We start from the raw sequence: 26,752 nt of genomic DNA on the forward strand, positions 1-26,752 counted from the left end.
CCACAATATTATCAGTCAGAGGATCTTTCAGGCTGCAAAGAGCCTGCAGATCATGATTAGAGGGTGTGGAAGGACTAGACAAGTCCTGGCAGCACTGACCCTTTATCCCTCCTCTTGCACTGCCCCCCCTCCCCCCACAACATTAAATCCACCCACTGAAAGTCCCATGAGCCTTTGGACAAAGTTTACATTATGCCGTTGGAAAATCTGATCCTATTCTGGATCATTGGCTTGCATCCCTTCCTCATTTGCATTTTGTGTGTCAGATCACTGGATCCAAAATAATTTGGTTGAGAACAAGTTGATCCAAAACAATATTTTTGTTTAAACAACAAATCATTGCTAACTAAATGCATCATCTACTATTTGTATTTTCTTGTATTTCTCATTTGAATCCTCTTTATTCATTTAAGGCATATTAGGCTCACTCTACTAGTTTGACAATGTCTTTGGTCTTTTAATTTTGCAAAATTGGCTAAAAATAAATGTTTCCAATCACCTACTTATGTTTGCATAATTTATATGTATGGTGTGGGGGGTGGATACTAATTTTAGATACCTTTAAAGTAATTGTGGCACAAATACCAGTGGTACTGAGTTGCTTCTCCAGCAAAGTGAAGCATAAAGAGATATAAACTCCTTGACCATCCTGCTAGGGGAGTTTCAGAATCCTTCCAGGTTACTTACTTTCTTTCTTTATTTTTTTTTGTTGTAGAGATGGATCTCGCTATGTTGACCAGGCTGGTTTCAAACTCCTGGATTCAAGGGGACCTCCCACCTTGGCCTCCCAAAGTACTGGGTGTGAGCCACCATGCCTAGTGAGTGCATGGTTACTTTGGTTACTTTCTTTTTTTTCTTTATTCTTTTTTTTTTTTTTAAGACAAAGTCTTGCTCTGTCGCCCAGGCTGGAGTGCAGTAGCACGATCTCTGCTCACTGCAACCTCCACCTCCTGGGTTCAAGCAATTCTCCTGCCTCAGCCTCCTGAGTAGCTGGGACTACAGGCGTATGCCACCACGCCCAACTAATTTTTTCTTTTTCTTTCTTTTTTTTTTTTTTTGTATTTTTAGTAGAGACAGGGTTTCACCGTGTTAACCAGGATGGTCTCGATATCCTGACCTCACAATCCGCCTGCCTCGGCCTCCCAAAATGCTGGGATTACAGGTGTGAGCCACCGCACCTGGCCTAGATGGTTACTTTCTATGTGCTTGCCTTTGCAAAATAAGGAACGTGTTCTCTTTGGCCCTACCTAAATCTGAAGCCTAGCAGCACATTTACAGCTTTCCCCAGGGTAGTCTGGGAGGCCCTTCAGGTCGGTAGCCTGTGGAATTAGCATGGTTTGGTGCTCTCACTCCTCACGCTCTCCAGTAGCCAAGACAAGAGGCCCCTGGCTAGCTCTGGTAATGCACCTCCTGCTGGGAGGATGCTGACACCTCAGTGTTCATACTCTGGCTTAACCTTAACACTGTTGCCTCAGAATGCATCTCCTTGCTCATTCTCCTGAGATATAGGGACTGCTCTCTCTTTCTCTTTTTGAGCTTTTTCCAAAAGTCTTCACCCTTCATCACAAAACTATTCAGAATGCTAGGAAACAGGCCCTTGTTGTAAGCAAAACATTTTTATAGGAACACAAAGTTAATATTAGTATAAAACTGCACACGTGTGAAATAAGAAGCCTAAAATGTGAGCAATCTTAGGGTTTATGTATGTCATTTGTTAGAAATGTTAGAAATCTTTGCAAATAGCCAAACAAAAGGTGAATTCAGCTCTGGAATACAGATGACTTGAGAATGATGCTCATGAACACACGGAGGGTTTTTTTTCCAAATATGGAAGCAGTAGAATTGACTTTAGAAGTTAACTTTATTAACAACTTCAGTAGAACTCTCCTATAAATAGAAATAAAATATACTCAGTTCTCTGCCTCAGGGATGGTTCCCCTACTACCACCACTCCCAGAGAAATACATTTGGGAGAGTTTTAGGAGTCAGTACATTTTTCAGTACCCTTGAGGATGTTTTTCTGTGCAGAGGAAAAATTATTCGGAGATGCCTTGGTCTTAAAAATTAATATTTGATTTTAAAAGAGTTTTTAGTTCCACTTCATTCACATTCCTTCTAGCAAATTTTAACAATTGGCTAGGCATGGTGGCTCATGCCTATAATCCCAGCACTTTGGGAGGCCAAGACAGGCATTTTGCTTGAGCCCAGGAGTTCAAGACCAGCCTGGGCAACATAGTGAAACCGTGTCCTTACAAAAAAAATACAAAAATTAGCTGGGTGTGGTGGCATCCACCTGTAGTCCCAGCTACTTGGGAGGCTGGGGTGGGAGGATCACCTAAGCCCAGGAAGTTCAAGGCTGCAGTGAACCCACTGCCCTCCAGTCTGTGTGGCAGAGTGAGACCTTGTCTCAAATTTTTTTTTTTTTTTTTTTTTTGAGACAGAGTCTTGCTCTGTCTCCGAGGCTGGAGTGCAGTGTGCAATCTCGGCTCACCGCAAGCTCCGCCTCCGGGGTTCACGCCATTCTCCTGCCTCAGCCTCCTGAGTAGCTGGGACTACAGGCACATGCCACCACGCCTGGCTAATTTTTTGTATTTTTAGTAGAGACGGGGTTTCACCTTGTTAGCCAGGATGGTCTCGATCTCCTGACCTAGTGATCCGCCTGCCTCAGCCTCCCAAAGTGCTGTGATTACAGGCGTCAGTTACCACGCACGGCCAAAAAAAAATTTTTTTTTTTAATCACTTTTTTTTTTTTTTCTGAGACGGAGTTTCGCTCTTGTTGCCCAAGCTGGAGTACAATGGCGCGATCTCGGCTCACTGCACCCTCCGCCTCCTGGGTTCAGGTGATTCTTCTGCCTTAGCCTCCTGAGTAGCTGGGATTACAGGCGTGCACCACCACGCCCGGCTAAGTTTTGCATCTTTAGTAGAGACGGGGTTTCACCATGTTGGTCAGGCTGGTCTAAAACTCCTGACCTCAGATGTTCCACCCGTCCCGGCCTCCCAAAGTGCTGAGATTACAGGTGTGAGCCACAACGCCCGGCCAACAATCACTTTTTTTTTTATTTTTTTGAGATGAAGTCTTGCTCTTGTCCCCCAGGCTGGAGTGCAATGGCACCATCCCAGCTCACTGCAACTTCTGCCTCCCGGGTTCAAGTGATTCTAATACCTTGGCCCCCCGAGTAGCTGGGATTACAGGCGCCTGCCACCACCCCCAGCTAATTTTTGTATTTTTAGTAGAGACAGGGTTTCACTATGTTGGCCAGGCTGGTCTAGAACTCCTGACCTCAGGTGATCCACCTGCCTCGCCCTCCCAAAGTGCTGGGATTACAGGCGTGTGCCACCGCACCCGGCCAACAATCACTTTTAATAGTGATTTTTATAATTTGATTATTTGCAAATATTGTTACATGTGCTTTAACATATTAAATGCTTTTATATATTTAATAATTTACTTTTAAGCACTTCAATCGTCTCACTTAGACAAAATGTTTCCAAGTTTTAAATTATTAATTTTTTTTAATAAATAGAGACATGTCGCCCACGCTGGTTTCTAACTCCTGAGCTCAAGCAATTCTCTGGCCTTGGCTTCCCAAAGTGCTGAGATTACAGGTGTGAGCCACTGCACCTGGCCAAAAATTTTTAAATAACATTGATAATTACAAATTAAATGCATTAATATGGTGAACTTAAGGTCATTTAAATGCTAGTTTCTTTTTTTGAGACAGAGTCTCACTCTGTTGCCCAGGCTGGAGTGCAGTGGCACAATCTCGGCTTACTGCAACCTCCACTTCTAGGGCTCAAGTGATTCTCCTGCCTCAGCCTCCCAAGTAGCTGGGATTACAGGCGTGCACCACCATGCCTGGCTAATTTATTTTTATTTTATTTTTTTATTTTTAGTAGAGACGAGGTTTTGCCATGTTGGTCAGTTTGATCTTGAACTCCTGACCTCAGGTGATCTGCCCGCTTCGAGCTCCCAAAGTGCTGGGATTACAAACATGAACCACCACGTCTGGCCTCACTTAAATGTTTTAACATTTAATTTAATTTAAATGTTTTAGTAAAATCTCATCTTAAAATCACAAATTTGGTCGGGTGTGGTGGCTCAGGCCTGTAATCCCAGCACTTTGGGAGGTGAGGTGGGAGGGTCACTTGAGTCCAGCAATTGGTGACCCTGTCTCTACAAATAATTTAAAAATTAGTTGGAGGTGGTGGTGCACACCTGTAGTGCCAGCTACTCGGAGGGCTGAAGTGAGTGGATCGCTTGGGCCAAGGAGTTGGATGCTGCAGTGAGCTGCAGCCTCTACACTCCAGCCTTAGGGATGGAATGAGACCTTGTCTCTAAAATAACAAAAGGAATGGCCGGGTGCGTTGGCTCACGCCTGTAATCCCAGCACTTTGGGAGGCTGAGGCGGGTGGATCACGAGGTCAGGAGTTCAAGACCAGCCTGGCCAAGACAGTGAAACCCCGTCTCTAGTAAAAATACAAAAATTAGCTGGGCATGGTGGTGGGCACCTATAATCCCAGCTACTCGGGAGGCTGAGGCAGAGAATTGCTTGAACCCAAGAGGCAGAGGTTGCAGTGAGCCAAGATCGTGCCACTGCACTCCAGCCTAGGTGACAGAGCGAGACTCCGACTCAAAAAAAACAAAAACAAAAACAAAAAAAACAACAAAAGGAACAAACCACACACATTCAATTACATATATATGTATATATATATGTATATATGTATATATATGTGTATATATATGTATGTATGTATATATATATGTGTGTGTGTATATATATATATTTTTTTTTCTTTTTGAGATGGAGTCTCGCTCTATTGCCCAGGCTGGAGTGCATTGGTGCTATCTCGGCTCACTGCAAGCTCCACCTCCCAGGTTCACGCCATTCTCCTGCCTCAGCCTCCCGAGTAGGTGAGACTACAGGTGCCTGCCACCACGTCCGGCTAATTTTTTGTATTTTTAGTAGAGACGGGGTTTCACCGTGTTAGCCAGGATGGTCTCGATCTCCTGACCTTGTGATCCACCCGCCTCGGCCTCCCAAAGTGTTGGGATTACAGGTGTGAGCCACCGCGCCCAGCCCTCAATTACATATTTTAACTTGAATTGCAAAACTTACCTGTAAGAACCCCTTAGAACCTACCAACTGTATACCGATAGTTCTTTAACATGGAGATATTAAGCATGTGAGTTTGAGTCCCTTTAGTATTTCTTTGCTTAATGCTACATCCTCCCAGGGATAAGAGGCTCATCCCCTCAGGGAACAGTGGATCTCAATTCACAGAAGGTGAGGTTTCTGCCCAAGACCTCGGAACCTAATAGACTTCGGCATTATTTTCACTTTCTTCCTACTCTCACTGATACGACAATGACTGATCTGACAATGTTACCTGATTAAATTCTGCATCTCTCATCTGTTTTTTTCCCCAGATTCTGCAAACTAATTTCCAAGCCCATTCTAATGACAATCTGTTGCTAGGCCCACCCAGCAGCCTTGTCATCTCTTGTATCCTACATAGTATTTTTTTCTGTCCAGTTACACTTCTAACTCAATTTGGGACCCTAGATGGTGCCTGCCTTAGTGTGCAGGGCTACCAATGAAATGAGTGATGATAATATAGAATCCTACATCTCACTTTCCCTTCTTGTTTCCCTAACCACCAAAGACCAATGTGCATTGAATAAATAGAAGAATAGAAAATACTCTGTGTGTGTGTGTGTGCGTATGTGTGTGTGTGTGTGTGTGTGTGTGTAGAGGACAGGAGAGAGGGAGAGAGAAGAAATTTGCCATACATCTTTCATGAATATATAGCTGATAGAAGAAAGCTGGTAAACACAGAATCTCATTAAGAATTTCCATTTCTGGGCCAGAGGTGGTGGCTTATGCCTGTAATCCTAGCACTTTGGATTGAATTAGTTCATGAATGAGTGAATTAGTTGAATTAGTACATGAATGAGTGACTACATGAACAAATGATATACATGAGGATGTATCCATGCAGAAATCTGAAATTTATATTTATTTTCCCCCTTAAATTGGGTCCCTTTCCTGGCAGAAAAGACTCGAATTTTGGTGCTGACTATAATATTTTCTTTTTAAGACACAGACAAGTAGAATGTGCGTATCTCATTTGAGTCTCATATTCGTCTTCAAGGTAAAAAAAAAAAATGTGCTTAGTAGTGGCGGCTGCCTTAGAAATGGAAATTCTCTTTTTCTTTTTTCTTTTTTTTAAATTAGACAAGTTCTCCCTCTGTCACCCAGGCTGGAGTCCAGTGATGGGATCTTGGCTCACTGCAGCCTCAACCTCCCACACGCAAGTGATCATCCCACCTCAGCCTCCCCAGTAGCTGGGATTACAGGCACACAGTACAACGCCAGGCTAATTAAAAAAAAATTTGGCCGGGCGCAGTGGCTCACGCCTGTAATCCCAACACTTTGGGAGGCCAAGGTGGGAGGATCACCTGAGGTCAGGAGTTTGAGACTAGCCTGGCCAACATGGTGAAACCCCACCTCTACTAAAAAATACAAAAATTAGCCAGGCATGGTGGCAGGCAGCTGTAATCCTAGCTACTCAGGAGGCTGAGGCAGGAGAATCACTTGAACTCAGGAGGCAGAGGTTGCAGTAAGCCAAGACTGCACCACTGCACTCCAGCCTGGGCAACAAGAGCGAGACTCCATCTCAAAAAAAACAAAAAAAAAATTTGGTAGAGATAGGGTCTCATTGTTCTCATTGTATTGCCCAGGCTGGTCTTGAACTCCTGGGCTCATGTGATCCTCCTGCCATGGCCTTCCAAAGTGCTGGGATTACAGACATGAGACATGAGCCACCTCACCCGGCACAGAAATGGAAATCCTTTTTTTTTTTTTTTTTTTTTTGAGATGGAGTTTCTTTCACTCTTGTTGCCCAGGCTGGAGTGCAATGGCGCGATCTCGGCTCACTGCAACCTTGCCTCCCGGGTTCAAGCAATTCTCCTGCATCAGCCTCCTGAGTAGCTCGGATTACAGGCATGCGCCATCATGCCTGGCTAATTTTGTATTTTTAGTAGAGACGGGGTTTCTCCATATTGGTCAGGCTGGTCTTGAACTCCCAACCTCAGGTGATCCGCCCACCTCGGCCTCCCAAAGTGCTGGGATTACAGGTGTGAGCCACCACGCCCGGCCTCACAGCAACGGAAATTCGTAATGAGATTCTGTATTCACCAGCTTTCTTCAATCAGCTATATATTTCTGAAAGATATGTGGCAAATTTCTGCTCTCTCTCTCCTGTCCTCCACACAGACACACACACACAGCATTTTCTATTTTTAAGTTCAGATCAGATTTTTAAAAGTTATGTTGCCTTGATGAAAATATGAGTGTTTTTGATAGCTGCCATGAATTCCATTTTATTTATTTATTTATTTATTTATTTAATTTATTTATTTAATTTTTTGAGACAGGGTCTCACTCTGTTGCCCAGGCTGGAGTGCAGTGGTGTGATCACAACTCACTGCAGCCTCAACCTCCTGGGCTCAAGCAATCCTCCTGCCTCAGCCTCCAGTGTAACTGGGACTACAGGCGTGTACCATGCCCGGCTAATATTTTTGAATTTTTGTAGAGACAGGGTCTCAGTTTGTTGCCCTAGCTGTTCTCAAACTCCTGGGTTCAAGCAACGCTCCTGCCTCGGCCTCCCAAAGTGCTGAGATTACAGGCATGAGCCACGATGCCCAGCCAAGAAGAAGTATTCTAAACAAAGAAGGATAAATTAAAAATGGTGAAGGAAGCCTGGGAGGGCTGAGCGCATTAACTGCCCCCTTTCTGCAGTTGCCAAAATGACCTGGAAAAGAAAGTGCAGGCATTAACACTTCCAAAAAAGGGTGTTTGTGTAATGAAGACACAAAGTTTTGAGATAAATCTCCTTGAGTCATGTTGGTCTTTGTTCCACTCACTTCATAATGTCAAGCGTGTTGATAAGTGGATCAAATGCAGCACAGTCTCACTGTGTTTTCTTCTCAAATGTTATCTAGTAACTTCGTAGCATTTTTGTATGCATCATCATACACATTTGTCCCAGGGGCAATTTTCTCCTTTTTTATCTGTAGTAAAACATACCAAAACTGGACGCAATAACATAACAAACCTTTTTAGGTCTGAAAACAACAACAACAACAAAAACCTTTGCAAATGGAACATAAGCTTTTGATTAAACAAAAAAAAAGCAGGTAAATATTTGCCTGAAAACAGTCATTTTAAAAGATTTTTTTATTTTGAGACAGAGCCACCCAGGATGGCGTGCAATGGTGCAATCTCTCTGCTCACTGCAAACTCTGTCTCCTGGGTTCAAGCGATTCTCCTGCCTCAGCCTCCTGAATAGCTGGGATTACAGGCACATGCCGTCATGTTTGGCTACTTTTTGTATTAATATTATTTTTTTCTTTTTTTGAAGTGGAGTCTTGCTCTGTCTCCCAGGCTGGGGTGCAGTGGCGCAATCTCGGCTCACTGTAGCCTTCGCCTCCCGGGTTCAAGCGATTCTCCTGCCTCAGCCTCCTGAGTAGCTGGGACTACAGGCGCCCGCCACCATGCCCGGCTAATTTTTGTATTTTTAGTAGAGATGGGGGTTTTGCCATGTTGGCCAGGCTAGTCTCGAACTCCTGATCTAAACTGATCCACCTGCCTCGGCCTCCCAAAGTACTGGGATTACAGGTGTGACCCACCGTGCCCGGCCTACTTTTTGATGTTTAATAGAGACGGGGTTTCACCGTGTTGGCCAGGCTGATCTCGAACTCCTGACCTCAAGTGATCTGCCAGCCTCGGCCTCCCAAAGTGCTGGGATTACAGGTATGAGCCACCGTGCCAGGACAAAGAATCCAGTTTTAAAATACGAGCGGGCAGAGCCGGGGACTGTGGTGCATTCCTGTGATCCCAAATACTGTGGAGGCTGAGGTAAGAGGATCCTTTGAGCCTAGCAGTTCAAGACCAGCCTGGGAAACATATGGCGACTCTGTCTCCAAAAACCCAAAATCAACCAAAACAAAACAAACAAAACAAAACAGGCAGGCAGGAGAATTTGTCAGTATATTTCCACCTCCATTTATATTCAATCCCAGGAACCTTCCTCATGCAGGCAGTGAGATTTGAGGCGTAAATTACCCTGAAAGTGGGAGTGGGGTTGGCATTTTTCTTAAGAACTGGGAACAAAGCATTTCTCCTTGGGTTAATGCTGACAAACGAAATAATGCAATTGAAAAAGAAATAAGGCCAGGCGCGGTGGCTCACGCCTGTAATCCCAGCACTTTGGGAGGCCGAGGCGGGCGGATCACAAGGTCAGGAGATCGAGACCATCCCGGCTAAAACGGTGAAACCCCGTCTCTACTAAAAATACAAAAAATTAGCCGGGCGTAGTGGCGGGCGCCTGTAGTCCCAGCTACTTGGGAGGCTGAGGCAGGAGAATGGCGTGAATCCGGGAGGCGGAGCTTGCAGTGAGCCGAGATCGCGCCACTGCACTCCAGCCTGGGCGACAGAGCGAGACTCCGTCTCAAAAAAAAAAAAAAAAAAAAAAAAAAAGAAAAAGAAATAATACGGATACGGCAGGGGGTATATGTACTTTCCCCTTAATTTTGCCGCGAACTTAAAAGTATAGAAAAAAAATAGACACGCTGCAGCACAGCCTGTGTCTCTCCTCCGCCCCGTAGACGGAAGTGCAGAGGGGCTGGAGGGACGAGGCTAGAGCGCGGCAAAGCAGGCGGGAGAACTAGATCCCAGTCCAGGTGAACATCCAGGCCCACGCGCACTCCCCTCCTGCAGAGGCAAAGGTGAGGGTGAGGGTTGTGCCAGAAGGTGACTTTTCCTGGAAACGTTTAGGGCCCGGGCCGCATTCCTGCGGGTCTTGGGTACAGGCAAGCTCCTGGTTTCCTTCCTCAGGACACCTGCATCGGGGGAGTGGCGCGGCAGCCGAAGAGAGAATGTCCAGGCCCAGCGGTGCGCAGCCTCCCCGGACCTACGGCTGCGGCGCCCCAGGGAGTGTGGCAAGCCCAGGGGCCCCCTGGACAGAAGAGACTAGCACGATCGCGGACCAGTGTGTCAGGGGCCACTCAGGAGAGGCCAGCAGAACTGGGCCAAAACAGGAACGTCCAGTCTCAGCATCCGCAGGGGCAGGACACAGCAGGGACTGAGGTGCAGGGACCTGCGAGGAAAAAGAGGAATTGACTGCATTTTATTTTATTTGTTGAGGCAGAGTCTCGCCCTGTCGCCCAGGCTGGAGTGCAGAGTGCATTGGCTCTATCTCTGCTCATGCAACCTCCACCTCCCGGTTTCAAGTGATTCTCATACCTCAGCCTCCAGAGTAGCTGCGATTACAGGCGTGCCCGGCTAATCTTTTTTTTTTTTTTTTTTTTGTAGACGGAGTTTCCCTTTTGTTGCTCAGGCTGGAGTGCAATGGCGTGATCTCAGCTCACTGCACCTCCGCCTCCCAGGTTCAAGCAATTCTCCTGCCTTAGCCACAAAAATACCCGGGATTACAGGCATGTGCCACCACACCCGGCTAATTTTGTATTTTTAGTAGAGATGGGGTTTCACCATGTTGGTCAAGCTGGTCTTGAACTCTTGACCTCAGGTGATCCTCCCACCTCGGCCTCCCAAAGTGCTGGGATTACAGGCGTGAACCACTGTGCCTGACCTAATTTTTGTATTTTTAGTAGAGATGAGGTTTCACTGTGTTTGCCAGACTGGTTTCGAACTCCTGGCCTCAAGCGATCCACCCACCTCAGCCTCCCAAAGTGCTGGGATCACAGGCGTAAACCATCTTGCAGGCCTGCATTGAGTGAATTTTAAACCTGAAATGTCTAAAAAATCACTAACACATCTTGAGTTGTCTGGAAGTAAGTAGGTTGAGTTTTCTGCTATCAGGCAGGAAGGGAGCTGAGAAAAGGAAGTTTGGTTGTGGGTAAATGAAGACAGTTACAGGTTGTACAACTGAGTGTGGATTACAAAATACCATCTGCTAGGCTAGCATCGTTAATTTCAACTCAAGTGTTGTGGAGAATTTCAGGTGCATGGGATTAGAGATACTGGAAATTCGGCTAGGCATGGTGGCTCACACCTGTAATCCCAGCACTTTGGGAGGCTGAGGTGGCCAATCAGGAGGTCAAGAGATCAAGACCAACCTGGCCAACATGGTGAAACCCCACCTCTACTAAACATACAAAAGATTAGCTGGGTGTGGTGACGCACACCTGTAGTCTCAGCTACTCAGGAGGCTGAGGCAGGAGAATCGCTTGAACCTGGGAGGTGGAGGTTGTAGTGAGCCGAGATCATGCCACTGCACTCCAGCCTGGTGACACAGCAAGACTCCGTCTCAAAAAAAAAAAAAAAAAAAAAGGCTGGGCGCGGTGGCTCATGCTTGTAATCCCAGCACTTTGGGAGGCCGAGGCAGGCGGATCACGAGGTCAGGAGATCGAGACCACGGTGAAACCCTGTCTCTACTGAAAATACAAAAAATAAAAAATTAGCGGGGCACGGTGGCGGGCGCCTGTAGTCCCAGCTACTCGGGAGGCTGAGGCAGGAGAGTGGCGTGAACCCAGAAGGCAGAGCTTGCAGTGAGCCGAGATCAAGCCACTGCACTCCAGCCTGAGCGACAGAGCAAGACTCCATCTCAAAAAAAAAAAAAAAGAAAGAAAAATACTGGAAATTCTCTTTTAGGACCAAGGCCTTGCAGGATAGGGTTTTTAACAGATGGAAGGTATCACCAATTGTTGAAGTACAATTTCGTAGTCTCCAGGATCTATGAATGTGGGATCCACAGGCATAGAATCCCCATAAGGAGTGGCTGAAGTGCAGAGCAAAGAAGAAATGTGAATCCCAAAAAAGTTTGCAAAGTTTTGAAAGCCAGAGTATACCATGTGAATTCTCAGGGAGTATCTGGTACTGTGTTACACTCAGAAGGAGGAGGAATGACCAGCACATTAACCCCTTCCTCAGTGGAAAATAATGACTTGGGAGGATTTTCCAGAGTAGAATAAAGGGCATCTCTGGTTATATAGTGGAAATAAATAAGTAGAAATAACCCTGCAGATTTTTTTTTATATCTATTGCTTAGCAAAGACTCCCAGAATTGTTCGTGGTTATGGGGCTGTGCACAGTGTTGGGGGATATTTAAATGCAGAGCATTTCTTGTAATCATCTATCTGACTTAGTTTAGTGAAAAGTTGTGGCGCTGGCTGACTCCAGTTATTGCATAAGTGACTCTGAGCAGTTTGGCTGGGTTGGGGAGTAGGAGGGTTGGCACTGATTTTCGGTTCCTAGAGTGCTCTGCACTCCTTGCTGCCTTCTTCAAGGCCTCTAGGCTGAGAAGAGTGCCTCGTAACCCCTAATGTGCTGATGCCCAAGACAAATCTCCTTGGGTCCAGCTGTATCAGTTTGCTGTGGCTGTGTAACAAAACACCACAGACTAAGCAGCTTAAAAACAGAAATGCACTTTCTTGCAATTCTGGAGGCTGAAAGTCCAACATCAAGGTGTCAGCAGGCTGGATAAAGATAATGTGGGAGGCCAGGCAGGGTGGTTCACAGGCGTGGTAGCTCATGTCTCCCAGCACTTTGGAAGGCCAAGGCAGGAGGATTACTTGAGCCCAGGAGTTCAAAACCAGCCTGGGCAACATAGCAAGACCTTGTCTCTAGAAAAAAATGAAAAAAATTAGCCAGGTGTGATGACATGTAGTCTCAGCCACTTGGGAAGCTGAGGCAGGAGGACCACTTGAATCTGGGAGGTGGTAGGTTGAGGCTTCATTGAGCCATCGTCTTGCTGCAGCACTCTAGCCTGGGTGACGCAGGAGACCTTGTCTCAAAAAAAAAAAAAAAAAAAAGGAAAAGAAAATGTGGTACATATATACCATGGAATACTAAACAGCCATAAAAAGAAGGAAATCATGTCCTTTGCAGCAACATGGATGCAGCTGGAGGCCATTATCCTAAGTAAATTAACGCAGGAACAGAAAAACAAATGCTGCATGTTCTCACTTATAAGTGGGAGCTAAATATTGGGTACTCACGGACACAAAGATAGGAACAACAGACACTGGGGATTCCAAAAGGAAGGAGGGTGGAGGGGGTCAAGTGTTGAAAAACTACCTATTAGGTATTATGTTTGCTGCTTGCGTTACAGGATCATTAGAAGCCCAAACATCAGCATCACACAGTATACCCTTTTAACAAACCTGCACATGTACCCTTTGCATCTAAAATTAAAAAAAAATGATTAGTCAGCAGGGTTGGTGTCTTCTGAGGCCTTTCTCCTTGGCTTGCAATGGCCACCTTCTCACTGGTCCTCACGTGGCCTTCCCACTGTGTGCATGCACTCCTGGTGTGTTTTTCTGTGTCCAAATTCCCTCTTTTCATAAGAACACCAGTCAGATTAGGGCCAACCCTGATGAACCCAATTTAACTTAACTACCTCTTTAAAGGCTCTATCTCCAAATATAGGCACATTCTGAGATTCAAAATTCAGTATATAAATTTGGGAGCAGGGAGTGGGGTGGTACAATTCAGCTTCTAATGTCAATATTCCACACTTCGGTTTAAGGATGGTCAGACATTATTCTCAACCAACTTCTAGGGATTTAGATGAGCTAAAACAAAAAAGCTCCTCAAATGTCCAAGTCAGCATGTCTTGGCCCTGGAGAATAAGATTAGACTTTTTTTTTTTTTTGAGACGGAGTCTTGCTCTGTTGCCCAGGCTGGAGTACAATGGCACAGTCTCAGTTCACTGCAACCTCCGCCTCCCGGGTTCAAGCGATGCTCCTGACTCAGCCTCTGGAGTACCTGGGGTTACAGGCGCCTGCCACCATGCCTGGCTAAGTTTTGCATTTTTATAGACACAGGATTTCACCATGTTGGCCAGGCTGGTCTCGAACTGCTGACCTCGTGATCCACAAGGCTCAGTCTCCCAAAGTGCTGGGATAACAGGCATGAGCCACCTCACCGGCCGAGATAAGATCAGATTTCAAGGTAACCTGGGGAAGCTGGAGAAGTGGATGGAAGAAAAGAACACTACCTGACATTTTGTTTATTTAGACTCTGCTTTCTTCCATAAAGAACATGAGGGGAGGGAACTCCCAGATTAATAAGGACATAAAGTCTGTCCTGACTGTCCTTTCACCTTCTCACTGCCACTGCCCTGGCTTCTTGGGCCCTGACCCAGGCACTGTGCATGTGGCCTTCTGGTGACCAGAGCCTCACCAGAAGGACTGTGCCCTAGGGTGGGGGGTGGGGAGGGGTAGTTAAGATACAGTTTTTCAAGGCAGAGTGCAGTACGCTAGGGGCTTAAGGAAAGTTCATGTGGCTTCCAGGGCCTCTGAAGGAGACAGTGTGCAGACTGTGGTGGAGGCCAGCTGGGGAAGAATATTTTACATCTCCACAGAGAGTCATCATTGACGCATGAGTGATACGCATTATTCATTAGAAAAAGCTGATTTCTGCCGGGTGTGGTGGCTGACTTCTGTAATCCTAGCACTCTCGGAGGCCAAGGCGGGGTGGGGAGGGGGTGGGGATCTTTTGAGCCCAGGAGTTCGAGACCAGCCTGAGTAACAAGGATGACACCCCATCTCTTCCAAAAAAAAAATGAAAATTAGCTGGGTAATTTAGGAGTCTTCCTAAGGATATAATAAATATATGTCTTTTTTCTTAGGCAGCAGATGGTGGCCAGCTGTTCTCTTATTACTGATGACCAAACATGAAGAAAAAAAATTGTAGTAAGGGGGCTTATAATAAATATAAGACAGAACTTAATAAACTAAATCTGGATTTTTATACACACAAAGGAAAATGGGCGGCTCTGGAAAATTATCAAATTATCCAAGCCAAAATAGCTTCTCCATTATCTATGTAACAAAACATTATTTATGTGGATTGAATTGTACAAATAATTGTCTAATATTTTGGGTCTCTGAGTAGACAATCTGGGTGGTCAATGATACAGATTGAGGGCCCTTCAAGGAATATTTTAGAATGGGAAAAGCGTTGATGCTCTTTGCCATTTGACTGGGGGCATTTCTACTGAGATGCAGGTGATATTGATCACATTTGTAGATACACGATTCTTTGACCAGGATTTGGGCCCGTTACAGTAAAATCGTAACAATTTTTGCTTAATGTTTGAAATCAACTTTTAATTGCAAAAATAATGCACTCTTTCCTCTAAATTTTCTTTTCTTTCTTCTTTTTTTTTTTCCGAGAAGGAGTCTCGCTCAGTCACCCAGGCTGCAGTGCAGTGGCGCAATCTCGGCTCACTGCAAGCTCAGCCTCCGGGGTTCACGCCATTCTCCTGCCTCAGCCTCCCGAGTAGCTGGGACTACAGGCGCCCTCCACCACGCCCAGCTAATTTTTTGTATTTTTAGTAGAGACGGGGTTTCACTGTGTTAGCCAGGATGGTCCTGATCTCCTGACCTCGGGATCCGCCCGCCTCGGCCTCCCAAAGTGCGGGGATTACAGGCTTGAGCCACCGCGCCCGGCCACTTTCCTCTACATTTTCTTTTCTTTCTTTCTTTCTTTTTTTTTTTTTTTTTTTTTTTTTTGATACGTAGTCTCGCTCTGTAGCCCAGGCTGGAGTGCAGTGGCGCAATCTCGGCTCACTGCAAGCTCTGCCTCCCGGGTTCACGCCATTCTCCTGAGTCAGCCTCCCCACAGCTGGGGACTACAGGCACACGCTGCCACGCCCGGCTAATTTTTGTATTTTTAGTAGAGACGGGGTTTCACAGTGTTAGCCAGGATGGTCTCGATCTCCTGACCTTGTGATCCGCCCACCTCGGCCTCCCAAAGTGCTGGGATTACAGGCGTGAACCACCGCGCCCGGCCATTTTTTTGTATTTTTAGTACAGACAGGGTTTCACCATGTTAGCCAGGATGGTCTCCATCTCCTGACGTCGTGATCCGCCTACCTTTGTCTCCTAAAGTGTTGGGATTACAGGCGTGAGCCACCGCGCTTGGCCTATTTTTATTTTTTGAGATAGAGTCTTGCTCGTGTCACCCAGGCTGGAGTGCAGTGGTGCAATCTTGGCTCACTGCTACCTTGGCCTCCAGGGTTCAAGCAATTCTCCTGCCTCAGACTCCTGAGCAGCTGGGACTACAGGCACATGCCACGATGCCTGCCTAATTTTGTTTATTTTTGGTAGAGGATAGGTTTCACCATGTTGCCCAGGCTGGTCTTGAACTCCTGACCTCAGATGATCCTCCTACCTCGGCCTCCCAAAGTTCTGGGATTACAGGCGTGAGCCACCACACCTGGCCGAACAGATATTTATTAAACACCTATTGGGTGCCAAGCGGTATGCTGATTGCTTGAGGCTACCCACACTGGTGCATAAATGACCAGTCTTTAATAATAATAGCAAACACATACGTTCCAAGCACAAGTACATTAACCCATACAATGGTTACAAAGACCACTTTACAGTTGAAGAAACAGGCAAAACCGGTTATTTTTAACTTGCTCAAATCCACACAGTAAGGAAGAAGAGAGGCCAATATTTTAATTTAGGAAACCTGGCTGCTTCAAAGCCTCATGCTGTTAAAAACCACACTACGCTGCCTTAAGATATGTCATTTGGGAAAGAAAGTTAACTCTTTTTCCAGTTGTTTAGATAAGCTGGGATCTATCATGAAAGTTTATCTAAAGATATAACTGAGCTTCCAGATGGGGTGACAGTACCAGGAGCACAGGCAGAGGTGTTCAGAAAGGAGAACTGGGAAGAGGCGGAAGAGACATTTTGCCACTTCTTTGTTTGCTTGGTGTTGGAAGTGACCGCTAATGAAAACCTGTCATGAAAATCAACAAGAGAATGCATTTCTTTTAAAGTAACGCATTCACAGCACAATCTTAAGTGCATTCTGAAGTCCTGCTGTCTTTTTTTTTTTTTTTTTTTTTTTGCGACGGAGTCTCACTCTGTCGCCAGGCTGGAGCGCAGTGGCGCCATCTCGGCTCACTGCAACCTCAGCCTCCCAGGTTCAAGGGATTCTCCTGTCTCAGCCTCCCGAGTAGCTGGGATTACAGACACCTGCCATCACGCCCAACTAATTTTTGTATTTTTAGTAGAGACGGGGTTTCACCTTGTTGGTCAGGCTGGTCTCGATCTCTTGACCTCGTGATCCGCCCGCCTCGGCATCCCAAAGTGCTGGGATTACAGGCGTGAGCCACCGCACCCGGCCTCTGTCTTAAACATCATAAAAACATAAGAACCCAAAAAAGATGGAGGGGAGTGCGCCCTTAGCTGCCCCAAACTGGCGTGGTGGGAGGCAGGGCAATTGGTCTAGTTTTCTGAGCCGTAGGATTAGGGCTCTGGGTGAGGCCAGAGTCCCTAAAGTTGTACCCATATCTGCGTGTTTGTATTTCCTGTTTGTAATTCCTCCTGTTTGTACTTTTTGTCTCTTATACGGTACACTTAAAGTTTCTCCACAAGGTGTTTCAGCATAAAGTACTCAAAAACTAAAAACGTTTAATTTCATTATTAGGTTAAGTGTGTAAAAAATGCCCCATCAAGGTTCTTGTACAAACTCCCATTATTCTCCCAGACTCCGAAGTGGCACTCCAGAATAATTTTACGTGGGTTAGCATCTTTTATAAAACGGGCAGGCAGAGCGGCTTATGAAATTAACCTTGGAAACCACGCGGCCACTCTTTCGGGAAATGCCTCCTATTTATGTTTACATGGGCCAGCAAGAGAATCCAAGGTTGGAAAGGTCATTCCTCACTACAGAGGCTCATCGCAATCACAGTTCCGTCTCCAAATTCGAGTTTTGGGTGTGAAGAGTTTATAAAGTCCAGCCGCTGTCCTCGCAGTGTTTGGGGTTAGCGGAGGGAGAGCTTGTTTGCGACCAAACTTGCCGCGCGGGGCGGCCGCTTGCAGGAACACTGCGGCCTTGTGCGCTCGGCGGTCTGAGCTCCTGCGAGGCCGAGAACGACGCCTAGCGCCCAGCGGCCTCCGCGAACAAAAAGCGACCGGTCGGAAGGTGCTGGCCCAGCCGCCCCTGGCGCTCGAGCCCGAATCCGGCCACAGACCATGAAGGGACGCCCGGCACCACGTGCGCGGGGATCCGCGGACGGGACGCTCCCCGGCACCTCCGGGGCTGGGCCGGCACCGCACGGTCCCACCCAGACAGTAGCTGCCCCGGGCCCCCAAAACAGCCGCTCCTAGCTCCTCCCTCCCAGCTCTGCGGTGGCCCAAGCCGCCCTCCGCGCGCTTGACCCAGAACAGTACGGAGTTCTGCACGAGCCGGGGGTGGGGCCTGTCTCAGCGCGCGGCGGTGGGGCGGGGCTTGGACACGGGCCCGGCTCAACTTGAGGGAGGCGGGGCTCGAGGCTCAGAGGAGTTGGAGCCCGCTCTGCGCGCTGCGGGACGGGGCACGGCGGAGCAGGGTTGGGTCCGCCTCGAGCGGGGAGGGTGATGCTGCACCACAGGGGCGGGGCTGGAGGTAAAGCGCGGAGCGGAGAGGGACCAGGCTCGGCACTGATTTGTGTTCAGGGCTAGCCCAGAGGGGCGGGGCCAGGTACGGGGCGCAGCCGGGAGCGGGAGGGGCGGTGCAGGACGGGGCCGGGCACGGCGCGGGAAGAGGCCAGGAGCAGCAACGGGTGCGGGGCGGGGCCGGGAGCGTCAAGGGGCGGGGAAGAGGGGGGAATGGGCGGGGCCGAGCTCTGCGAGGGGCGAGGTGGGGAATGCAGAGCGGGGCCGGACGCGGGAGCAGGGAGCTGGGCGGGGAGCGGGGCGGGGAGCTGGGCTGGGCTCGGCACGGGGCGGGGCGGAGGGTGGGGAGCGGAAAGCAGGACGCACGGCTCCCGCGGCCCGCTGGCTGCCCTTCCCGCCAGCGCAGGTGTGGGACGGGCGGCGGACTAGGCACAGAGCTGCGGGAGCAGGCACAGGGAGTGTGGAGCCTGGCGGCGGGACGGCGGGATCCGGTGGGAGCCGGAGTCCCGCCGAGGGGGGCTGGAGGTGGAGGGGCCCGGCGAGGCCGCGATGAAGCCGAGCGGCGAGGACCAGGCGGCGCTGGCGGCCGGCCCCTGGGAGGAGTGCTTCCAGGCGGCCGTGCAGCTGGCGCTGCGGGCAGGACAGGTGAGCGCCACGGCTGGGCTCGGAAGTCCGGGCGGAGCAGAAGCGCGTGGGCCTTGGGAGCCGCCTGGAGTGGCGGGGTCCTGGCGCGCAGCCGGCGGGCGCCCAGGGTCCGCACCCGAGGGCGCGGGGCGCGGAGCGGTGAAAGGAGCCTTTGTGCTGGTGTCCTGGACACACCTCCCGCGCCCTTCTCCAACTCCCGGAGCCCTGGCGGCGAGCCCCTCTGCTTTGGAGTTCAGCGGCTAACGTGACCTTTGCGTTTGAGTGAGTGGTCAGAATGTAGAAATCTCTCCAGGGGTAGCGTACGGGGCTGTTGATTTTTAAGGACCTATGAACGGATTCAGCTCGCGGTAGGAAGCCCGGGGCTAAGCCCCAGCCGCGTGGGGATCTGGCTGGGCTGCCGTTTGATTGTCCTGGCTGCAGCATCCTCAACCCAAACTTACTCTGACCCACACCCTGAAAGTGGCTCAGCTCCGCGACGGCCACGGACTCAGAGTTCAGGAGGAACTTGTTACACTGCCCGGAAGGATGAAAACCGAGCCGCAGAGCTACCGAAAACCAGCGAGCAGAGTTTAAAATGGAGTGCAGTTCCTCTCTTCTCTTTTTCATTTTTGTGATTGTTCCTTCCACTTTCCTCAGTACCTTTAGCAGTGCCTGACACACCGACGGTAGTGGTAGGCAAGCGAGTGTTGGTTCTCCCAGGACTGTAAGATGGCTTACTCCATGTTTGTCTCTTAGGATGTGATTGTGGGCCGGGCGCAGTGGCTCACGCCTGTAATCCCAGCACTTTGGGAGGCCGAGGCGGGTGGACCACTTGAGGTCAGGAGTTCGAGACCAGCCTGACCAACATGGTGAAACCCCGTCTCTACTGAAAATACAAAATTAGCTGGGCATGGTGGCGCGTGCCTTAGTTCCAGCTATTTGGGAGGCTGAGGCAGGAGAATCACTTGAACCTGGGAGGCGAAGGTTGCAGTGAGCTGAGATCGCGCCATTGCACACCAGCCTGGGCAACAAGAACAAAACTCCGTCTCAAAAAAAAAAAAAAAAAGTGATTGTTTTCGGGGATTTTAGAGACAGGAGGTGTGCTGAGAGCAGATTGGCCTTTTATATTCAAACATTTGTTTTCTTTTTTGAGGTCTGACAGTCCGAAAATGCTCTACCAGTTTCCCTAGATGTTGAAATCGGACTGTTATCAATCTTAAATTTGAAGTGAGTCGTCATAAAGTGGATAGTGCTTTACCTTGGTGCAAATCCTCTAATCCTGTTTAAAAATTAATCTGCAATACTAAGTAGACTCATTTTTTGTTGAAGGGCCTTCCTTCCCTTTGTAGTTTGAAGAACCCAAGCCTCAGACCGTAAAGAATGAATGAATTTAAGAGTGTTGCGAAACTCCACCCTTTGACCTTTCCCTCCTGTAGGAAAAGGAGGACCCTAAACCTTCCTGCAAGGCAGATGAAGCTTGTAGCTTCAGTGCAAGCGTTCTTCCTGGAAAGCAGAGCTGCTGTGTGCATGGAACACGGGTTCTCCTTCCATCCTTCCCTGCCTCCCAGCTTTCCTTCCAGAGCAAGCATCAGCCAGATATTTAGGAACTTTTAGGTTCTACTGTAAAACTTTTCTTCCTTGAGGCAGTGAAAAGCCAGCTTAGGATTCAGACATTGCTGTGTAAACCCTGGCGAGCTAAGTTAGGAGTTTCTGTGGTTTTCAAATTTAGATCCTTGAAGAAACAGAAGATTTTAAAATTTTATGTTATTATTTAACAAATGTGCATAAAGAGCTTGCAATAGAGCAGGAACAGTTCTAAGGCTCCTATGACTTTTAACTTAAGAGATATTTTATGTTTTTGCAACTTGCCAGCAACAAAAAAAGCTTTTTTTAAACGCTGGAGAGGGTTGCAATAAAGATGCTGCCATTAGGAGTCCGGTCAGGAAGCCCGGGCCGCCCGGGGCTCCCCCTCAGGCATTATGCTGATGCTTCCTGCCTGCCGGGCAGTGCTGAGGGAATGGCCTGAAGGTCTGCTGCTGGGACAAACAGAAGCCACACGAGGTCATCGGAACCTGTGTAAAGAGGGACAGATTGTCTTCTAATGCAATCGGGGGCTGACTGGAGAAAACATATCCTTTAGCCAGATGACCTGGTTCGGGGTGTAAAGGTCGTGAGTGGTGATCCTTTTGGAGTTCTCCTTAGTGAAGAGCATGTTGGCAAAGTCGCAGGGCCCCCAGATGCTCACCCTTCACTAGCACCCAGCATTCTACCACTCTGTTGTTCGCTGCTCTCAGCTGCCCCTGAGATGGAGTCTGTGTTCTAGATGCGGAAAGGTGAGGGAGCCGAAGGAGAGACCTTCCAAGAGATAAAGGTGCACTGTCCTTTCTCTCTTAGACTGGTTCCGCTCAAGGTGGCCCTGGAGAAACTGCTTCCATTTCCCCTCTGCCCCAGTTCTGGCAGGCTTCCCTGTCCCAGGCTCCCAATTCCCTCACCTGCCCCCTCCATGCTTCTGTGCCACTCTTCCTTCCGTGACCGTGGGGATCATCCCTGCCCTCCTAGTTCCAGCCACCCACACTGTGACGGGAGCCTCCTCCCTGGCTGTTGGGCTTTTGGGGAGGGAGTGACCACAGCCCCACCCCAAGTACAGATGACAGTATTCACTGATGTGGATGGTTGTCATCTTTTGTGTGATGTGTGAACAGAAGTATTGTAGACAGCTCTGCCTTTCAAATCCCCCCGCGGAGCTGAACCAGCTTCTGTTGGGCCAGAAACTTAGACAATTTAGGGGGCCCTCTTTAAGAAAATACAAACTTTGCCAGATGTGGTGGCTGAAGCCTGTAATCCCAGCACTTTGGGAGGCTGAGGCTTGTGGATCACCTGAGGTCGGGAATTTGAGACCAATATAGTGAAACCCCATCTCTACTAAAAATACAAAAACTGTGGCCGGGCGCGGTGGCTCACGCCTGTAATCCCAGCACTTTGGGAGGCCGAGGTGGGCAGATCACAAGGTCAGGAGATCAAGACCATCCTGGCTAACACGGTGAAACCTCGTCTCTACTAAAAAATACAAAAAATTAGCCGGGCGTGGTGGCGGGCGCCTGTAGTCCCAGCTACTCAGGAGGCTGAGGCAGGAGAATGGCGTGAACCCGGGAGGCGGAGTTTGCAGTGAGTAGAGATCGTGCCACTGCACTCCAGCCTGAGCGACAGAGCAAGACTCCGTCTCAAAAAAAAAAAAAAAAAACAACAAAAATCAGTCGAGCGTGGTGGCACACGCCTGTAATCCCTGCTACTAAGGAGGCTGAGGCAGGAGAATCCCTAGAACCTGGGATGTGGAGGATGCAGTGGTGAGCCTAGGTTGCACCACTGCACTCCAGCCTGGGTGATAAGAGCGAAACTCTGTCTCAAAAAAAAAAAAAAAAAAAAAAGAGAAAATACAAAATTACAAATTCAAACTTAGATATAAAAGTTATTTAGAATAAGAACAATCACATCTATAAATTTCTAAGGTGCTAAGAAATACTGCAAATATCACGAAATACACAAAAATAACAATTCTTTCACTGCTTCTCATACTTCCGTAATACTTTTTGCCCTTTTTCTGGTTTCATACTGTTTGCATCTTTTGAATGATAATGATTTTGTAATACTTTATATGGGGAGAATAGAAAGATAAATTCAGCATTTCCTGTTGCTTGGCTTATTGAAATTTATTACTGATAATTTAGAAAATTTAGGCTTCAAACTTGTTACTGGTAACAATTGGCTTATAAATTTTTAGGATGTCATCAAATTGAGAACCTTCTATGAATTTTTTTATACATTAGTTGTAAGTGAGTCTGTTTTTCACAGACTTGCTCCTGGCTCTGTGCAGTTGAAATCTGGTTTATTTTTGTGATCCACACATTTTCAGTGCCAGTGTCTGTGTCCACCTCATGTGCTCCTCTGGTCCTGTATGTTTTTGTCACCATGCCAGGTGGGTCGGCGTGATGGACAGGGGAGTATGCCTGGAAGCCCTTTCTACACTGGATGGCTCTCAGTAACTTACAGAGAAATGTGACTGCAAACCCTATTGAAGCAAAGTTAGTTCATCTACTCAGCTTATCTTTAGCCCACACTGGCTGTATCCACGCCAGTGCCACCTGATGCAAAGTCTGATGGAAGGACAGTTTAAGTGGAAAGGCACAAGGTTAGATCTACAGTCAAAACAGCTGACTTTTGCCCATTACAAAAGGGGTTTGTGTACGGCTTTGTGAACACTTTGTTAGGGTCCCTTGCAGGCAAGTGGGGGCCTTGATGCTTAAGCGTCATTAGCTTCACAGGAAATTCATCTCTGTTTACTTGTAACAAAATCTCAGGACAAAGCAGAAAAAGAAAAACCCAGCACTGACCTCAGGACCGCAGACTTCCCCCTTCTCTAGTTGGCCTTGCACACCCTTGCAGGTTATGCTTCCCGAGGCCCGGCCTTGCGAAGTGAGCCTGTCGTCCCCTTGTCCGGCCAGATCTGGTCGCTCTGCTTGGTGTTTGCAAAACACATGTTGTATTTTCTTGCCTTTCTTCTGGCCTATGGAGTATGCAAACCATTGCCTGTCTCCAGAGCCCGGCTCCTGAGCCCCTTCCTTCATGGACCGCTTCTCAGGTGGCCTTCCCTGTCTTTCCAGTGCCCCACCTGGTCCTGCTGAGCTGGCACTCCTCATGACTTTATTTATCCTTGCCTGGTGGTGTGCCCTCCACACAGTGGGTCCTTGGAATATGAATACTCTTTTGTCTACCTCTGGCTCTTCAGGGCAGAAGGCACATTGGTGGGCTCTGGACCCGTGTCCCCACTTGTCCATCTGGCTTTACCAACACAGTATTGTTTTGATTTGTGATTTTCCTTTTTGCTGGTTATTCACACCGGGAATTTAATGAGTGACGTAACACTGAAAGCACATGATGAAGAACAGCAGCACCTGGCCCACACTCCTCACCCCTTGTCCTGTGTCCGGAGTCCCTGTTCTCAATTTTCTGAGAGTTACACCCATTTCTAAGTAATATGCTTCTGTCGTGCTTTCTTGAGTTGTTCATTGTTGACAGAATTATTCTGTGTTACGCCGTGTAGTGGCCCTGCCCGTGTGGTTCTGTGGGTGTCCATGTCCATGTTCGGATGGCCATGCAGATGTAACTCATGGTTCAGCCCGGCAGTGTATTCCTTTCTTTCTAATGCAACTTGTATTTTCGTTAAAGAATGTTTTGTTTTGTTTTGCTTTGCATTTGTCTAGTTTTCTGTATACCTATTGTGAGCCATCCATCTTCCCAGCAGGATTTTTCATGATCTCCTTGGTGTGGTCACACTCCTTGGGTCGCTGCTGTGGAGCAGTGCTTCTCCAGCTTTGGCTGTGTTGGAAGCCCAAGAGGGCTTATTAAGGCAAATGGGGTCCCACCGCAGGGTTTCTCATTCACTAGGTCTGGAGTGGGCACCAGAATACGCATTTCTAACATTCCCAGCTGACATAGATGCTGCTAGTCTGGAGTGGCACAATGGGAACTTCCGCTGCATGGTATTTTATTATGTGAGTACATCACTATTCATTCAACTGTTTTATTTATTATTTATTTTTATTTTTTGAGACGACGTCTAGCTCTCTCGCTCAGGCTGGAGTGCAGTGGCGTGATCTTGGCTCATCAAAACCTCTGCCTCCCGAGTTCAAGTGATTCTCCTGCCTCAGCCTCCTGAACAGCTGGGTCTACAGGCATGCGCCACCATGCCTGGCTAATTTTTGTATTTTTAGTAGAGACGGCGTTTCACCATATTGGCCAGGCTGATCTAGAACTCCTGACCTCAAGTGGTCCACCCGCCTTGGCCTCCCAAAGTGCTGGGATTACAGGCACGAGCCACTGCGCCTGGCCTCATTCAACTCTTGAGCAAACTGGATAATGTCCAGTTTGAAGTTAATACGGGTAACGTTGCTGTGAACTTTCTTGCACATGTCTTTTGATTATGTGTGCATTTCTGTTGGGGATTTATTAATAGTAGGAGTAGAATCGCTGTGTCATTGGGAATGTAAATTCTGCCAAGTAGTTCTCTAAAGAGGATGTACCAAGTTACACTCCACCCTGCAGTGTGTGAGGGTTCCCTTTTCCCCACGTCTTCCACAACATGTGGTATGGTCTGTCTTTTATATTGTAGCCATTCTGATGGGCTTGAGTTGGTATTTTATTGTAGTTTTAATTTGCGTTTCTTAGATAATTAATGAAGTTAAATGCACATGTTTATTGGCTTTTTTTTTTTTTTTTTTTTTTGAGACACAGTCTTGCTCTGTCGCCCAGGCTGGAGTGCAGTGGTGCGATCTCAGCTCACTGCAACCTCCGCTTCCCGGGCTCAAGCAATTCTCCTGCCTCAGCCTCCCGAGTAGCTGGGATTACAGGCATGTGCCACCACGCCTGGCTAATTTTTGTATTTTTAGTAGAGATGGGGTTTCACCATGTTGGCCAGGCCAGTCTCAAACTCCTGACCTCATGTGATCCACCCACCTTGGCCTCCCAAAGTGCTGGGATTACAGGCGTGAGCCACTGTGCCCAGCTGTTTATTGGCTTCTTTGATATTATTTGCTTTTAAAATGATGGTAATAACACATTGATTATAAATTTATTCATCCAACAAAGAATCATTAACAACTCAGGAAAGGACTTTAGCCTTTTTACTCTGAATGTGAGGGGAGGTTTGGGGCAGAGTCTTGTGTGGGGCTTTATAGGACTCTATATAGGGGACCACCCTGGCTGCTGCATGAGGTCCTTTGTGGGACACTAGGGAGACCAGAATCAGGTATCTGATAGGAAGCCACGTGAGAAATGAGGGTGGATTTGACTGGGGTGCATGAAGAAGGTGGTGAAGAAGATTTACTTTGGAGGCTGAGATGACAGCCTCTGAGTTGGATGTGGGGTGTGAGAGAAAGAGAGGAGCCAAGGGTGACTTCAGGGGTTTAGGCCTGAAAAGCTGGTTGAATGGATTTGCCACTTTCCGAGATGGCAAAACTGCAGGAGGAACAGGTTTGGAGCTGAGAGTCGAGTGTTCTCTTCTGTGCAGGTTAAGCTCGAATTGCCAGTAGATTTCTTATTTTATTTTTTTGAGACAGGGTATCGCTTTGTTTCCCTGGCTGGAGTGCAGTGGTGCAATCACAGCTTCTACCTCCTGGGCTCAAGTGATTCTCCCACCTCAGCCTCCTGAGTAGCTGGGACTACAGGCATGTGTCACCATGCCTGGATAATATGTATTTTTTAATTTTTTGTACAGACGGGGTTTCACTAAGTGGAGATGTTGGATTTGCACCCAAGCTGACGGCAGAGATGCAGTGTGGAAGTCATATTCCTGGAGATGGTATTTAGGGCCATGTCCCGGACAGGAGGAGAGCAGGCTTGGCCACTGATGGGCTTTGCCGTCGGATGAGCTCAGGTCAGGCTCCCATTTTCCTCCTTGGGAGCCTCACAAATGCCAGTTTGTGGAGGTCATTTCTGAAGTGGTTCATTTCTCCAGAAAAGGCTTCCCTGCTCTTCCTGCCTGGGCTGAGCGCACCTGTCGCTGGAGGAAGAGGAGGCAGGAGGGGGAGAGGAGGCGGTGGTGATGGCCTCCAGCTCCTGCCTCGCCTGGTCCACACCTGCAGTGTTTGCTTAGCTCTGCAGGGTGGGGTCAGCCTACGTGAGAAATTCGAAAACTCAACAACATTT

The 26,752-nt window shown here is 48.0% G+C and overlaps 1 protein-coding gene across 1 annotated transcript in view, besides 3 other annotated features; it reads left to right on the plus strand.

The window, feature by feature from the left end:
- Positions 17,737-18,031: a silencer, noted in NCBI's record as "tiled region #7933; K562 Repressive DNase unmatched - State 1:Tss". NCBI's record gives its function as "represses a minimal TATA promoter and a strong SV40 promoter by Sharpr-MPRA in K562 cells {active_cell/tissue: K562}" and the evidence as "EXISTENCE:reporter gene assay evidence [ECO:0000049][PMID:27701403]".
- Positions 17,737-19,351: a biological region, named in NCBI's record as "Sharpr-MPRA regulatory region 7933".
- Positions 17,872-19,351: a silencer, noted in NCBI's record as "silent region_9302". NCBI's record gives its function as "represses an Ori minimal core promoter by ATAC-STARR-seq in GM12878 lymphoblastoid cells {active_cell/tissue: GM12878}" and the evidence as "EXISTENCE:reporter gene assay evidence [ECO:0000049][PMID:35858748]".
- The window catches only part of IMPA2 (inositol monophosphatase 2), a 49,371-nt gene continuing 41,432 nt past the window's right edge, over positions 18,814-26,752 (plus strand). Inside the window, exon 1 of the mRNA NM_014214.3 lies at positions 18,814-19,072. Coding sequence (NP_055029.1) covers positions 18,977-19,072 — 96 coding nt within the window. The 5' untranslated portion in view covers positions 18,814-18,976. The remainder of the gene's footprint in view (positions 19,073-26,752) is intronic.

This window comes from Homo sapiens, chromosome 18 (genome assembly GCF_000001405.40).
Source record: "Homo sapiens chromosome 18, GRCh38.p14 Primary Assembly".
Taxonomy (NCBI): domain Eukaryota; kingdom Metazoa; phylum Chordata; class Mammalia; order Primates; family Hominidae; genus Homo; species Homo sapiens.